Raw genomic sequence first — 16,480 nt, 5'->3', positions numbered from 1 at the left:
TTAATCCAAATATTTCTTATTTTCTGGATTTGCTAGACCATTACTCACTTCCTCATCAGTCTTTAGATGGAGAGATAGAATCTTATTAGTCATAAACATCATTGTAAGGCTAGAATAAACCTTATAAGCCAGTTCTTCCTTTTCATAAATGAAGCCCTGGAAGCCTAGAGAGACTGGGGCTGCCTGAGGCCCCACATTAATAAAGTTCATGCCCGTCCTCTCACCTCTGAACTAAGGGAGCTGGAAATACAACACAGTGCCTCAGTTTTCTGTAACCAATGAAAACATTGCTTGAAACAATACAGTCAGCTGTCACTACTAATTACCAACAAGACTCATAATTTTGCATGTGGTTTTTAAAATACTAAGTCTGCTGACTTTAGCCTCTAAGCATGAACAGTTGTTGGGAGTTATAACACTCTGGACAACAAAGATTAAAAACCCTCTGAAATTGTTTTAATGTACCTTTTAAATCTTCAGGAACTTTCTTGTCATGAAAATTTATAATATGAACTATGAAAGGGATTATGTTAGCTTACTGATGAATCATTATCTTCTTGTAACTATCAAAATAATTAGATTTGTGGAAAACTATAATAAAAAACATAAAAGCTACCTGTTTCCATTTTCTGCCTGAACAGCCAATGAATGAACAAAGTAAGGAATTTAAGAAAAGATTCTTGGACATGTAAATGGACCTGACTAGTCCGATGCAGTGTGGTCCTAGTTTCTCAATATGCAGGGGTGACTACAGACCCTACATGTCACCAGAAAACATGAAAACATTCTCAATGTTTTACATAAAATGGAGAAGCAGCTTTTGGTGACATGAGCTTTATAAAATAAAACATCCATAAAGCAAGTTTCTATTTTTAATTTTTTTGCTTTGATAAATCAATTGCTTCACAAAAATCCTTTTTAAAGACAACAATCCAAGAAAACATATTGTTACAGTATTCACATTTCAAAGATTGTCAGTTTCAAAGACCGAATATAACTAGAACGAAAGATTGCTGAGTTCTTTCTGTCTCTAAGTGCCAGGAATGGGCCTTCACAAGGGGCAGAACCCCCTCTGGACACCCTGGAGTTTGTCTCAATGAAAAGTGCCCACTGCTACCTCACACAGGCAGGAGATGGATCACTCTCAGGTCACACAGACACAACTCCCAGAGCCCTTAGCCGTGAGGGTTTCTTTTGCATGCTCGATAAACACTTCCACTCATCTTACTATCTGGAATCAAAGCGCAAAGGCCAAGCTAGTCCCTCGGTGGGAGCGAGCTGGAACCCAGCACAGCCAGCCCTGCCACTCCTGCTCCACAGGTGCAGGGCAGGAATAACAGCAACATGCTCAATTTGGGTCTCAAGACACATTCAAAAGGAGCCTTCATAGGGAAAAACTCAACAAGAATAAAACTGGAACCGAATCTGATCATTTAAAACGAAATCTTAGAGGGGGTCACACTTTTACAGATTCTCTCCACTGTCCAAGGGCTGGAGAACAGGTGTTTTAAGGTGCCAACTGACCTCAAACATGCTGGGCAGTGATTTTGCAAACTGAAACAGCTTGCCATGTAGAAGCTAGTTAAAAGCACCCATTGCAGAGAGGTTAAAGGAAACTCAGGCTATGTCCATAAGCACCCTTTCTCTAAGTGATCTTTATCCTATTCCTCTGAATTTAGTAAGAATTTAGGAAAGTTGAAGAAAGTTTGCAGCTGGAGAGAATGCACACTGTATCATTCAGCATGGGTGTTTAACTCTCAGGCCAGAGCTTCCCAGTGCCACCGAGGTTCAGGCAGTGCTCTCTTTTTATAGATGGGGGTCTCACTGTGTTGCCCAAGATGGAGTGCAGTGGCTATTCACAGGTGCAAGCATAGTGCACTGCAGCCTCAAACTCCTGGCACATGCCATCCTCTGCCTCAGACTCCCGAGTAGCTGGAACTAGAGGCACGCCCTACTGCGCCGGGCAGGGGCAGCACTCTTAAATTCAATCCACTGCTTAGTGAATGTGATTTCTAGTGGGGGAAAGAAACGGTGACCTATACATGAGTCTACATTCTGTGAATGGCTTCCACTAATCTACACTAAAGAGCAAGCAGCCGAAGAGACGGAGGGTGGTGAGGGAAGGAGGAAGGGCTGGCTGGCTTTCATGGGTGCTTATTTTAAGGAGTCCAACAAAGTTGGAACTTAGGTTAAAAATGATCTTATAGACTTGACTTAAAATATGAGAAGACAGTTCACAAATGAGGAACGCAATGGTGGCTTTAAGATGTCATTCTCGGCCGGGCGCGGTGGCTCACACCTGTAATCCCAGCACTTTGGGAGGCTGAGGCAGGCAGATCACCTGAGGTCGGGAGTTCGAGACCAGCCCGACCAACATGGAGAAACCCATCTCTACTAAAAATACAAAATTAGCCGGGTGTGGTGGCGCATGCCTGTAATCCCAGCTACTCAGGAGGCTAAGGAAGGAGAATTGCTTGAACATAAGAGGTGGAGGTTGCAGTGAGCTGAGATTGCACCATTGCCCTCCAGCCTGGGCAACAAGAGCAAAACTCTGTCTCAAAAAAAAAATGTCATTCTCTCCCCAAAAGACTTGATAACCAAGTCTTTCAGTAAAGCTCCTGAAAGATTTTAAAACAAATTTCTGTGTGTTTCCCACTGACTTCTTAACCTCAATTAATATATTCTTTTGGGAAAAATCAATTCCAGAAAAAACTCTTCACTAGCTTAAAATGTCCCTTGGCTTACAACCAATCATTACTGTTGACTCTCAAGAACTGAAGACATTCCCGACCCTGTAAACAAATGAACTTCAGCCATACCATTTCAGATGATATGAAGACATTCTGTATGAAACACCGTGGCCTGTTTTCTGAGAAAAAGCACCACTCCTAAGTAAACAATGAAAACAAATCAAAACCAAAGAAAACAGAACCCAGCCCACTCTCTCGGTTCATCTTGTTACCAGGAAACAGAAGTCCTACAGTTATTCCAAATCTCACGTGGTCAAGTGAGCAGGAGGGCTCTGAAAAGTCGAAAGCAACAACGTACAAGAGAACACTGACACCAGGAGACCAGCCACAAACGCAAACGTAGGAGCCAACCCGTGGGGGCTGCCGAGGTGCCCTCGCCAGACCAGCTCGCTGCTGGGACTCCAGGGATGTCCGCTAGTTAAGTAATAAAGTCTGAATATCTGCTGTTTGCCCTAGCTCTGAGCCAATGGGGTAGAGCACATTTTATATTAGTTTATAATAAACATTCTGTGCATAACATATTTTGAAGTTAAAACTTTTAAAACAATACACAGCTAACATGGTAAAGCGACCATGCAACTGTGGTCAGATTTAAATTAGACTGGAGTATGTACGGTGAGAGCTCCTAACGGGTCACTGGCTACCATTTCACCTCACTTACCTGAAGTCCTGTTTAGCAGATATCTTTCGATATATGTTTAGATCAAGTGTAAAATGCAATCTGAGCATTACATATCAACAAAAATTTGCAGATATCAAAATTTCATTAAATAGCTGTTTCTTTTATAGTAGTAAATGTTCATCACTACCCGGGGAGAGCAAAGAACCATGGAACGGTAGCTAACTTTGGGCAGGTTCATTAAATTTGGTCAATTCAGAACATTCCAAATTGAAATATTAATAGCAAGCATGTATTGTTTCTTCTCTAGAAATTTTATCCTCAATATAGTCATCATCCAATTCATAACGAATTTATAAAAATAGCTTTTTTATCCAATAATTCCAGCAAGGTAAAAATAGGAGTTTCTTTTTCTATATAGCAAATGAAACAGGCTCACTGAACATGAGGGGACTTAGGCTTGCTAAGCTTGCCGTCCATCCACTCACGACGAAACCACACTCAGTCTAGGCGTGTGCCGTTGTCACCGCACACTGGCAGTTTCGGGTGCAGCAGCTTCTTTCAAATCCATGGGCCACACAAATCAACCAGCCCACTGAGATCTGCTGGAACCACAGAACTAAGTGACAACCGCATCACGGTTTAGAAAATGGCAGCGCTATTCCTTAATCTAATTAGGGATTCAAGGTGGGGAGGGAGTGGTGTGTCATTCCTCACAATCTAGCGTTAAACCTTTAAAGAATTTCTTTAAAAATCCACACACACGCACACACGCACACACACACACACACACACACACACACACACTTGAAAGAAGTCGCTGCACCGGCAAAGACGCGCTTTAAGCTTACTATGAAATACAAAAGTGCACTCTTCTATATCTACATATAAAACATATTAGAAATAAAACTGTGTAAAATGTTTGCTGTGCAAACTCCAAAAAGTCAGGTGCGTCTGCTCCTGCCCCTACTGCAGGGAGTCACTGTTCTCCAAGACCAGCCCGCTGATGTGGGCAGGGGCCAGGGCACCCGCATCCTCCTCTGTGCTGTCCACAGACTCGTCCTCGCTCTGCCCTGCCATCATGACCTGCTGCACCGCCAGGGTGGCCCCGTCCGAGGACAGAGACTGAAGGCTGTCCACGTTCATGTTCACGGGCGTGGTGATGGTGACAACAGCTCCTGCGGCAGGATGAAGGTGTGTCATTATTTAAATTAGTACTCACAGAAAAACACTTTATTACTCAATTGGGTGCTGTTTGCTCGTTTGACCTAAAGTTAAAATAAAACACCTATATATGTTTAGGGAATGTTCAACAGGGATTTAAGAAACTGTTTCTGGGCCGGGCGCGGTAGCTCATGCCTGTAATCCCAGCACTTTGGGAGGCTGAGGCAGGCGGATAACGAGGTCAGGAGATCAAGACCATCCTGGTGAACACGGTGAAACCCCGTCTCTACTAAAAATACAAAAAATTAGCCGGGCGTGGTGGCAGGCACCTGTAGCTACTCCGAGCTACTCGGGAGGCTGAGGCAGGAGAATGGCGGGAACCTGGTAGGCAGAGGTTTCAGTGAGCCGAGATTGCGCCATTGCACTCCAGCCTGGGCAACAGAGTGAGACTCTGTCTCAAAAAAAAAAAAAAAAAAAAACAAAGCAAACAAATAAAAAAAAATAAAAACACATGCACACAAAACCATCCAAAATATGAAGACCTCATGCGAACAGAAAGATGCCTATAAAACACATCAGAATGGCTGCCTACGTCAGGGGATGGAGAGCAGAGGCCACAGGGAACAAGCAAAAACAAGAGAAGGGCATGGGGGATGAAGAGAAAGAAGCCACGTGGTGAGAACGGGGTAAGTCCCTCCTCCACACCCGGCGTCGGAGGGAAAAGGAGAGCAAACACAGAAGCAAAGGAGAAGATCCATGGGCATGACTGTGTCTTTGAGACAGAATTAATGATTTCATATCTCTATCACGTGTTTTACATTCTCTACTACTGGTGCTCCTAACTCTTACTGAGAGCTCCCGTGCACGCAGAATGCAGCTTCCTCATGTTTTAGTTGCAGAGAAAGAGAACCACGCACTCTCGTTCACCACATTACCTGAGGCTCACAGCTAACAGGCCTGATCCAGGCCTCTTGTTCATAATCCCCACCCCATGGTCCACCATGTCTGGCCTTGGCCGGCCACCTGTACCTTCCGACATGGTGAGCTCGCTCGGCGGTGGCTGTGCGACTCCTGATGCAATAGAATCAGGCCAAAACCTCTGAACTGGCCGGTTCTGAGCAGTTTTTTTCTTTGTTTTGGGGGTCTCTGAACAACTTGAATCCAACATTGGCTGAAGAATTCGTCTTCTGGCATTGATGAACCTGGAGTCAACAAAGAGAAGCTTCCATGAAAACAGCCTTCGTAAAGACCCTATACAGGATTAACAAATCCTTCTAACAAACACGCTGCTCTACGAAGCACGCTACAAAGAATGACTCAAGTTCTCCACTATAGTAACTACTTAAGAGGACTCAACAGCTCTTCTGAATTCTCTAAATGCCCAGAAACACAGAGCCTGTTGTTTTAAAAATCATGCAAATAAGCACCAACTCGTCCATGGCATTTTTTTTTTTGTCTCAACTCCTTTAGGGCATGTTTGTGAACTAGATACTCATAACGACATAGATGATACTGTTGAATTTGTGAATCTGACACTGTTTTCCCTAAGGAAGAAAAATGTTAAAGAAGCAAGACTTTCTGTAGTGCCATCATGCCTGAGACGATCGGGCAGTCTGCACTCGTCTGGACGTCACCAGATCACCAACGGGGCCGAGCCTCTGGGTGGCAACGTGTCTGAGCCATCAGAGAATGGGACTGCCACCTCCTCTTGTTTCACCACAAAGCACGATCTAAGGCAAGAGCTGCATCTTTTCAAAAACCATTCCCAATGATGAGCTGTTTCTTAGATGACTGGAGGCGTAAGTCCTCCAGTGGTCCTAGACATGTGGCCAGCACAGCACGTAGGCACCAGCAGTGATGAAATCCCCGACAGACGCTGGCGACTCTGTCAGACCAGGCACTCACGCCTGTGATAAGACTCCACAGAGAACGAGAGCAGCAACAATCACAGGCTGGCAGGGCAGGCTGGACATTGTTTCTGTATTTTTGAGATGGAGTCTCGCCCTGTCGCACAGGCTGGAGTGCAGTGGCACGATCTCAGCTCACCGCAACCTCCGCCTCCTGGGTTTAAGCGATTCTGCTGCCTCAGCCTCCTGAGTAGGTGGGACTATAGGCGCCCACCACCTCGCCCAGCTCATTTTTGTATTTTTAGTAAACGGGGTTACACCATGTTGGCCAAGATGGTCTCGATCTCTTCACCTTGTGATCTGCCTGCCTTGGTCTCCGAAAGTGCTGGGATTACAGATGTGAGCCACTGCACCTGGCCCAACAGTCACAGGTTGGCAAGGCAGGCTGGACATTGTTTCATATCAAATGAGTATGATAGCAATCTCAAAATACATTAAGATTAAAGGCTGCTGTCTTCAGTTCCCATTCTTATGCTATGAGCTGTTGCCTTTAAATGTGAGAAAGTGCAAGGAGACTCAAATCCCTAGGCCAGCTTTTCCTCCTGCAGTGACTAGAGGACAAAGATAGCAAACCAGACATGCGTTCTGCTGCACCCACCACCCTATGCCACTGACTGGGCCACTTTGCTACAAAAAGAGCTGAAATGGAAAGAAACGGAAAGAAAAACAACATCTGTCCCGTGAAAGCGCCTATCAAACCAGAACCCGTCCAGATTCATGCATTACCCCAACCTAACGCAAAAGCAGCAATACCAACCATGCTTAAGGCCTCGTTTCTGTCTTCTTTTTTCAGTAACATGAATGATAAAGTAGTTGACCTCTTGCTAGAGTCACACATTGCTCATCTATTAAAAGCCAGACTTCTCTATCTGGATAGCTGAGTAGCCATGTTCACGATATCAGGGAAACAAAAGCATTACTTTTAGACTCAGATTCTACTCTGGTTTGTCACTGTGACAACTTCTTTCTTTTTTTAATGCCCCCCTCTGCAAAACAACAACACTAGAACTGGATCAGCTCTAAGGTTGCTTAATTTTAAAAGTCCAAGATTTAAAAATATCTACAATTATATTAGCACACAGTCTAATAATAATGAAGCAGATCGGATCCCGCCATGCTTCATTTAGAGGAACCTGGTGATCCCTGCAGCACAAGCTCCATGGCCACCCACAACCCCAGCGAGACCTGGGAGGGAAGGCCCCACTGCTACTGTAATGTGTTGGTTGTTTTCTTTTTTTTTGAGACTGAGTCTCACCCTGTCGCCCAGGCTGGAGTGCAATGGTGCGATCTGGGCTCACTGCAACCTCCACCTCCCGAGTTCAAGCCATTCTACTGCCTTAGCCTCCTCAGTAGCTGGGATTACAGGTGTGCACCACCACACGCAGCTAATTTTTCTATTTTTAGTAGAGACAGGATTTCACCATGTTGGTCAGGCTGGTATTGAACTCCTGACCTCGTGATCTGCCCACCTCGGCCTCCCAAAGTGCTGGGATTACAGGTGTGAGCCACCGCGCCTGGCCTGTAATGTGTTTTTAAATCATTCTTATTCAAAGCTGCTACCAGCAGAGGCATGAACTAATGATGGGTGTGTGTATCTCACTCCAAGATGTAATGTTTGTAAATACAAAAGAAAAGAAAGTCACAAAAAGTAAAAGTAGCTACAAATATTAAAGATTTCAGAAATTTGGAATTTTTAAGTTATATTATTAAACTGTTATTATTACTAAAAATTAAAAGTTGATACTAAACCTAGATAAGACAATTCGTTAATGTAACATAGTAGCAAGTCAGGGAACACCAGGAAATCATGAATGCAGAAAAGCAGGAGGGTGCTGAGCAGTGACGGGGCACCAGCACATCCAGAGACGCATCCCTCCCACTTCAGCCCACCCACCACAGGTGTGCCCCAACCAAAGTATGTGGTTTCCACATAGCTCCAGGAAAACAAGCACATGAGCAGAATATAACAACCACTGCAGCAACAACATACTCAGAATCTTTAAATTTTTGTTAATATTCTATTTAAAAGATTTAACAGGAAATAACGCAAATAGTATAGTCTGTTGTGACTACCCACATCTAAAAGAATGGCAAGAATGCAGGATCATGGAAGTACTTATGCAACCCCGAAGCATACCTCCCGCACACACGACTGCACAAAGACAAAGACTTTCTTGCTGGAACTTCAACAAGTTCACATTTTAGCACAGCTAAGATAAAGATAATAATGTTTACAACTGGAAGAATTTGTGCTTTCTTCTTTTATGCATGCCAGTTTTATTAAGCTGAAACTGTTTCCTACATCTGAATAAGTAAATTTAAAAAATGTGACAAGTGACTAATAACCAAAATGGAAGACCACCCCCCACTTCAGTGCCACCTAGGAACACGCACAAGCCCTTACTGAAGAAAATACATCTGGCCAGAGTCTAAGTGTCCACAGCAATGTTTGACAGCAGGACTAGAAGGGGACGTTTTATGAAATGTCCTCCTGGGTGTTTCTTTGCTAGGAATGGCTCCCAGACTCTTCTGTGGAGCAGGACCCCCACAAGAAAGAGTGGCAGAGGGTCCCCTCATGGGGCAGGACCTCTCACTCTTGGCCTCCCACCATCCAGAGGCTCATCCACTAACAACACATCACAGTTTTGTATGAATGTGGGGCTTGGGGACAGTAGCACCCTAGAGAAACAGCTCTAAAGAGGCAGGCAGGATGCAGTCCATAATGAGGTATTGATATGAAAACTTAGGTTGAACCTGGTTTATTCCTAAGTCTCCTGCTCCCATTGCCCATTAAAAGAACTCATATTTTTAGTCGGGTGCAGTGACTCACACCCATGATCCCAATACTTTGAGAAGCTGAGGTGGGAGGATCACTTGAGGCCAGGAGTTCGAGACCAGCCTGGGCAACACAGCAAGACCCCGTCTCAGTTGGGAAAAAAGAAAAAGAGAGACCTCCTATTTTCAGCAAGATTTCACCATGTATTGGTGCCAGGGTTTCCAAGTGCTCTACCGTGCTGACAGCATGATTTCAGGAAGCAGGGCACCTTACCAGTTGTTGACTTGGAGTAGTGTCAAATTTGTCTGAGCAGCAATCTGTTTTTTCTCATCCTCTGTTGGGTAGGGATGCTGAAAATAAAAAAAGAAGGTTACCATGGCCTTCGAGTTTACAAAGGAAATCAAGACGATTTAGGCAAAATGTGAGCATTACATAATCATTAGAAAATAATGGTCACGTCAACAGTGCTTCTAGCCAAAACCTAACTGTAGTCTCACGAACAAAGTGTTTCTCCTCGTCCCAGGAATGTCCTAGTGCTGCAGTGGCTGGTTAGTGCATAGGCCAAGGCAGACCGCCCCCCACGTTTAACGGTTCAGCGGTGACGATAACAGCAGCGACATCATGAGGAGCAGCTATGCAGTCCAGCGGTGAGTCTACACCAGGCTTGATACAATCTATAGATTCTTTATCAACTTTATTGAACTTTAACTTATGAACAATAAACTACATCCATATAAAGAGGATGGGTGGATGCGTTCTGGCCCGGGAGCCTCTGCCACAAGCAATACACAGCACATTTCAATTACCTTGGTCCATTCTATAATAATTCACTGATTCCTCAGAAGCACCTGCTGAGACAGTCACTGTCAGTGTCTTTATTTTACAGAAGAGGAGACTGAGGCATGAAGTGTTTACAAACTGCCCCCATCCCACAGCTGGTGAAACAGGTGGAGTAGGAAATGGCCAGGCAGGCTGGGGGACAAATTTCCATCATGGGTACCACAGGAATCAACTGACACTGGGATAAGCTGATGCCATCGACGGCTTTCCTGGGGTGAGATCTCTGCTGGATTCACCTGTGCTGTCAGTAAGGAACTGAACCCAGGGCTGGTGACAGGAGTGCCTGCTATGGTATTCTTCTTTTATGTATGATTGAAACATTTCACATACAAAAAATCCAACCAGAGGGCCAGGCGCGGTGCCTCACGCCTGTAATCTCAGCACTTTGGGAGGCTGAGGCAGGTGGATAACTTGAGGTCAGGAGTTCGAGACCAGCCTGGCCATCTGGGAAAAAAAAAAAAAAATCTGGCCAGGTGTGGTGGCTCACGCCTGTAATCCCAGTACTTTGGGAGGCCAAGGTGGCCAGATCACGAGGTCAGGAGATCAAGACCATCCTGGCTAACACGGTGAAACCTTATCTCTACTAAAAATACAAAAAATTAGCCGGGCATGGTGGCACACACCTGTAGTCCCAGCTATTCGGGAGGCTGAGGCAGAAGAATTGCTTGAACCCAGGAAGCGGAGGTTGCAGTGAGCCGAGATCGCGCCACTGCACTCCAGCCTGGGAGTGCAGAAAAATAAAAAAAAAAAATCCAATCAGAACTAGATAGCAAAACTCACAGAAGTACCAACCGAAAATGATTTCTAGCTATGGTAAATAATTTCTCCAAGGTTGATGACTGTCTATATGTGGAAACCAACACGACATTTACTCTAAAACCTGAATGCACTAAAGCCCTTGATTTGGGATCAACAAGGACCCAAGAGAATGAACGGTACCAGCAAAGTCAGCAGTGAGAGTTTACTTTGGCTTTGACGTGAAAGGAACACTGAGTGCGGCGTGGAAACACCCCTGCCCATCACATGGGGACGGAGCGGCCTCAGATGTGCCTCAGCAGTGATGGGTTTGTTTCCTCAAACTAACGGCAGTGTGACTCAACTTGACTCCATCAATGAGTGTGTGGCTCTGAGCTCAAGGTCATGGAAACAGAAATACTGTTCTCCCCCTTTAAAAAGCTCATAAAATAGAAACAGGGCAGGAAACACGAGCACACAAGCAGAAAACACCAAACAGCCAGAGATGCTGCCCCAGAGTATGCGGGAAACTACAGGGGGTCGGCGCTGCCAAGAAACGAGGGTGAGGAGGGACTGAGGACGCCCCACAGGAAAAAACGCGGCGTCTTCACTGGACATGATGGGCAGGGTTTATTGTTTGAGAAATTATTAAAACATTAAAGGAAACCTGAAAGGAGAGTACTCACCCAATCCCACCACTTGGTGTTGTTCTATCATTATGTTATACATATACTGATTGGCTGTAATAATCGCAATGTGTGTAAATATACCAACATGCTGCCTTTTGACTTCCTATCCTTCACTAAACCTCCCGACTGCTTAGAGCCCTCATTCCTCATGTTAACTATGCATATGATACTCCATCAAACCAGTACGTCCCCATCTACATGCCGACCTGCTTTCCATTATTATATTGAACGACACTAACATTCTTACACACAAATCTTTCCGTTTTCTTGTGACTGATCTCTTTGAACCAATTTCTCGGAGCAGCCCCGCTGCTCACAGGTAGCACGCCTTTCTCCTGACATGTGTGGCTTGCTACCTTTTATGCCCATGGAAGCGGCTCGGTGGAGACCAAGAGGCCAGGGCAGGCAAGCAGAAGAGGCGCAGCCCAGGCTCCTGCCAGGCCTTCTGCCCAGGAGAGGGCCCTTCTCCTCCCAGGACCACTCAGCAACACTACCCACCAGTTTCAAGCCCTCAGGCCAGTCACTCCCATGGACCCTATCCTCAACTGAGGAGCCCGAGGCAGCCAGAGGAAAGTGGGCCGCGAAATGGCGAGATGGCTACGGGCTCAGGGGCCCACAGTCAGGGGAGGGCAAGGACAGAGTGCTGAGGACAAACAGGCTTCAGCCCCAGCGGAGGCACCCTGGAGAGGAGACAGTGGGAGGGCAGGGCAGATGCAGTGCAGAAGGCCGAGGAGGAGGAGGCTGGGACACAGGCGGATATGGCCACAGCCTCACAACAATCAGTGGCGACAGCAGGGGAGAAGGGCAAACTTAGGGCCAAGCCAAACTGGCGTCTGCCTTCCCGCCTTGGCCTCCCTGTGCTTGTCCCAGGAGAGCCCCGCCTGCTCTCTCCTGCCCTGGATCAGCAGGCTGGCAGCAATGGTGCCACACAGCGTGCAGAGCAGGTCTCCCCCATCAACTCAGCAAGCAGGCCCACCACTGCACTTCCTAAGATGTCCTGGGGACAGGGAGAAGACGCGGCCATGGCCCGGGGGAGGAAGCCGGGTGCACACGTGCTGGGCAAAACGGCGCGCCCTGTGGGACAAACTCGCTTCCAGCTAAAGGCACCCACCCGGTGGCCCACCTGTGGGTGCACCCGGCCCTGCGATGTCTCTAACCCATCTCAGCTTCCTTGTTAATCCAACACACAGAAACACAGCAACTTCCCCAGCTGCTGCCCAAGAACATCCCTTCTCTGCCCACTTTTCTGGCTCACCTGACCCCATCACCCTTCGTGGTGGGCTGTCTCGGACACACGTGTACGCCTCACATGTGCTCGGGTGCTCCTTCACGGCAGCCCTCATTGCCCTTCAAGTTCCCTGCAGCAGTGCCCCACGCTCCCCACATTATGGACATGCCACAAAGTCCTGAAAGTCAGGCCTTTGATTTTCTGAGCCCAGAGAAGTAACCCTTTTCCATGACACATAAGCCAGAGAGCAAGCGTCGCAGAGGGCTGCAAGGCAAGGGCTGGCCCAGCCGTCCTTACCCCGATGTGCTGGAAGAGCCAGGACCGCATCACGTTCGTGGCATGCTTTGGCAGGACGCCCCTCTTGTTCTTAGATGAACCATCATCTTGATGCAAGATGCTGAGATCTTGGTTTAACTGTAACTGAAGCTTTTAAAGTTGAAAAATAACATTAGAAAGCATAGGAAATTCTCACATATCCAAGTACTTACAACTGCAGGTGGAGAAAACAGCCAAGGATCGGACAGGGAAATGATTGTAGTCGAGGCCCATGCACGGGAACCCTGTGTGGACTGATGTTTCAGGACACGGCTCCCTCCACATGACCAGCCTTTCTTTTTTTTGAGACAGGATCTTGCTCTGTCACTCAGGCTGGAGTGCAGTGGTGCAGTCACGGCTCACTGCAGCCTTGAACTCCTGGGCTCAAGTGATTCTTCCAGCTCAGCCTCCTGGGTAGCTGGGACCACAGCCACGCATCACCACACCCAGCTAATTTCTTCTACTTTTTGTAGAGGCAGGGTCTCGCCCTGTTGCCCAGGCTGGCACATGATAAGTCTTTGCACTAGTGACTTGGCTCTGCAGAGGCCTCTCAGGCAGGGAGGCTCAGAGCCCATCCTCTGCAGGCAGGAATGCCGTGGTCCTCTCACCCACCACCTGTTCCCACCTGTGCCTCCTGCAGCGAGGTCAGTGAGAACATGTGACTTCCTAGCCGAAAAGGGATGTCAAGGACCAATGAGAATGAACAGGGACACCAGAAAATCCAACTCTCAAGAGCAGGACACGCCAGGGGAGCAGAGGGGAAAGAAACAGAAACAGCACAAAGGCAGAAAGAGGGTCCGCAGAACAGGAGGGCACAGGCTGACTCCTTGTTCCAGACGCCTCCACAGGCACTAGAGATACGGACCTTCCCTCCTGTCACCCAGGAAAGCGTAGGCTACTCTGCCAACTTCATTTTAAAAGAAAAAGATGTGAATGGCATTTCTTTGTTAAATTCCTTCTCACAAAACACGAGAGAAGATCTGCTCGTTACAAGGCCGTGCTCCAGGCCCTGGCACGGCCTCCCTCACACAGCGTCTCCCTCCCCAGGTGCCTGCTGAGATGATGCTGCCACTGCGCACTGCGCAGACCAGGGAAGGAAGGAAGGAAGCAAAATCGCTCCGTAGGGTCCGCAGCATGGATAGGTCAGCCTGTTTAAGAGTTCACATATAAACCTAACTTTAGTCCAGGCACAGTGGCTCACACCTGTAATCCCAGTACTTTGGGAGGCCAAGGCAGGAGGACTATTTGAGCCCAGGAGTTCAAGACCAGCATGGGCAACATAGTGAGACCCCGTCTTTACAAAAACATTTAAAAATTAACTGGGCAAGGTGGCACATGCCTGTAGTCCCACTACTCAGGAGGTGAAGGTGGGAGGATTGCTTGAGCCTGGGAGGTCAATGCTTCAGTGAGCTGTGTTTGTGCCACTATACTCCAGCCTGGGTAACAGAGCGAGACCGTCTCTTAAAAAAAAAAAAAAAAAAAAAAAAATCAGAGCACCTGCAAAAAAAGAGAAGCTTCTAAAAGATGAGAAAAACACAAAAGATTGGAAAAAAGAACACCAACCTTCTTGAGAGCTGGGTGCAGTAGCTCACGCCTGTAATCCCAGCACTTTGGGAGGCCGAGGCAGGCGGACTGCTTGAGCCCAGGATTTCGAGACCAGACTGGCCAACGTGGTGAAACCCATTTCTACTAAAAATACAAAAATTAGCCAGGCATAGTGGCACACACTTGTAATCCCAGCTACTCGGGAGGCTGAGGCAGGAGAATCACTTGAACTTGGGAGGTGGAGGTTGCAGTGAGCCGAGATCACACCACTACACTCCAGCCTGGGCAACAGAGTGAGACTTCGTCTCAGAAAAACAAAAGTAATGCTTTCTCAATGTTGGGTAGAAAGGATTTTCAACCCAGAATTCTACAAGTAAACAGACTGCATATCAAATATGAGATTAAAATAAACTCATTTTTAGGTTTGCAAAGTCTCAAAAAAATGTGTGTTTTTTTTTTGTTTATTTTATTTTATTTGAGATGGAGTTTTGCTCTTGTTGCCCAGGCTGGAGTGCTGTGGCACGATCTCGGCTCACTGCAACCTCCACCTCCCAGGTCAAGCAATTCTCCTGCCTCAGCCTCCCGAGCAGCTGGGATTATAGACATGCACCCGACATCCAGCTAATTTTTGCATCTTTAGTAGAGACGGGGTTCCACTATGTTGGACAGGCTCGCCTCAAACTCCTAACCTCAAGAGATCCACCCATCTCGGCCTCCCAAAGTGCTGGGATCACAGGTGTGAGCCACTGCACCCGGCCAGAATCAATGTTTTTTTTTTTTTTTTGAGATGGAGTCTCACTCTGTCGCTCAGGCTGGAGTGCAGTGGCACGATCTCAGCTCACTGCAACCTCTGCTTCCCGGGTTCAAGCGATTCTCCTGCCTCAGCCTCCCGAGTAGCTGGGATTACAGGCGTGCACCACTGCACCCAGCTAATTTTTGTATTTTTAAGGACAGGGTTTCACCATACTGGCCAGGCTAGTCTTGAACTCCTGACCTCGTGATCTGTCCACCTTGGCCTCCCAAAGTACTGGGATTACAGACGTCACCGTGCCCGGCCCAGAATCAATGTTCTTAAAGTAAGAACTGATAACACACACCAAAGACGGGCAAGGCTCAGCAGCCGCAGAGATAGCGCCACTGCACTCCAGCCTGGGTGACAGAGAGGCCTGAAAGCCCTGGCCCAATGACATTGTCATGATGGAGGTGTGGGCCAGGCTCACTGGTCTGAAAAGCTTGCCTGGCAGTTCTGCCGTGCCCTTTGTGGGGACCCTGGGGAGTGTGTGCCTACAAGACCTCTGCCCCTGGTGCACGTGCACATGATCCAACGTTAGCACTGGATAACTCTGTGTGTGTGTGTGTGTGTGTGTGTGTGTGTGTGTGTGTGTGTGTGTGTGGGTGGCAGGGGGTGGTTATGAGTGACTTTTTTCCTGTTCTTTCAGAATTTTCTGAACTTTGCAAATTCTCTACAATGCGAGAGATAAGAGTACAAAGAAACAAAACACTGACATTCAGAGAAACCAGAAATTGCTACACAAGACAAAGCTCTTCAGGCAGAGGGAAGGGCTCATGCTTGTTCTACCTGTGCCCCTATGTGGGCAGCACTCGCCCCCAAAGCCTTCCATAAAATGGCGCACGCACCTGGGAGTTCTGGATCCTAATTGTCCCAGGCGACAATGTCTGTGTGACCACTTGGCCTTGGGGAGTGACGACCGTGACAGGCTGATACACTGTGCCACCTCGAAAGGGAGAATAAAAATATGAGGCTGCTTTTAAGTCTCAATGATTTAAACCATTCTTCTTTTTTTTTTTTTTTTTTTTTTTGTAGAGACAGGGACATTGCTTTGTTGCCCAGGCTGGTCTCTAACTCCTGGCTTCAACTGATCCTCCTGCCTTGGCCTCCCAAAGTGCTGGA

The 16,480-nt window shown here is 47.1% G+C and overlaps 1 protein-coding gene across 8 annotated transcripts in view; it reads right to left on the bottom strand.

Annotated features, from left to right (window-relative positions):
* Positions 1–505: 505 nt before the first annotated feature.
* Positions 506–16,480, bottom strand: part of PKNOX1 (PBX/knotted 1 homeobox 1) — a 59,370-nt gene continuing 43,395 nt past the window's right edge. For all 8 annotated transcript variants that reach the window (XM_047440826.1, XM_047440828.1, NM_004571.5 and 5 more), the window contains 5 exons: positions 16,207–16,304; positions 13,006–13,134; positions 9,490–9,566; positions 5,563–5,735; positions 506–4,547 (listed from right to left, as the gene is read on the bottom strand). In XM_047440826.1, the coding sequence (XP_047296782.1) occupies positions 4,336–4,547; positions 5,563–5,735; positions 9,490–9,566; positions 13,006–13,134; positions 16,207–16,304 (689 nt within the window). In that variant the 3' untranslated portion in view covers positions 506–4,335. The remainder of the gene's footprint in view (positions 4,548–5,562; positions 5,736–9,489; positions 9,567–13,005; positions 13,135–16,206; positions 16,305–16,480) is intronic.

The sequence above is a fragment of the Homo sapiens genome, chromosome 21, assembly GCF_000001405.40.
Source record: "Homo sapiens chromosome 21, GRCh38.p14 Primary Assembly".
NCBI classification, from domain to species: domain Eukaryota; kingdom Metazoa; phylum Chordata; class Mammalia; order Primates; family Hominidae; genus Homo; species Homo sapiens.
This window is presented reverse-complemented; position numbering and strand designations above follow the sequence as displayed.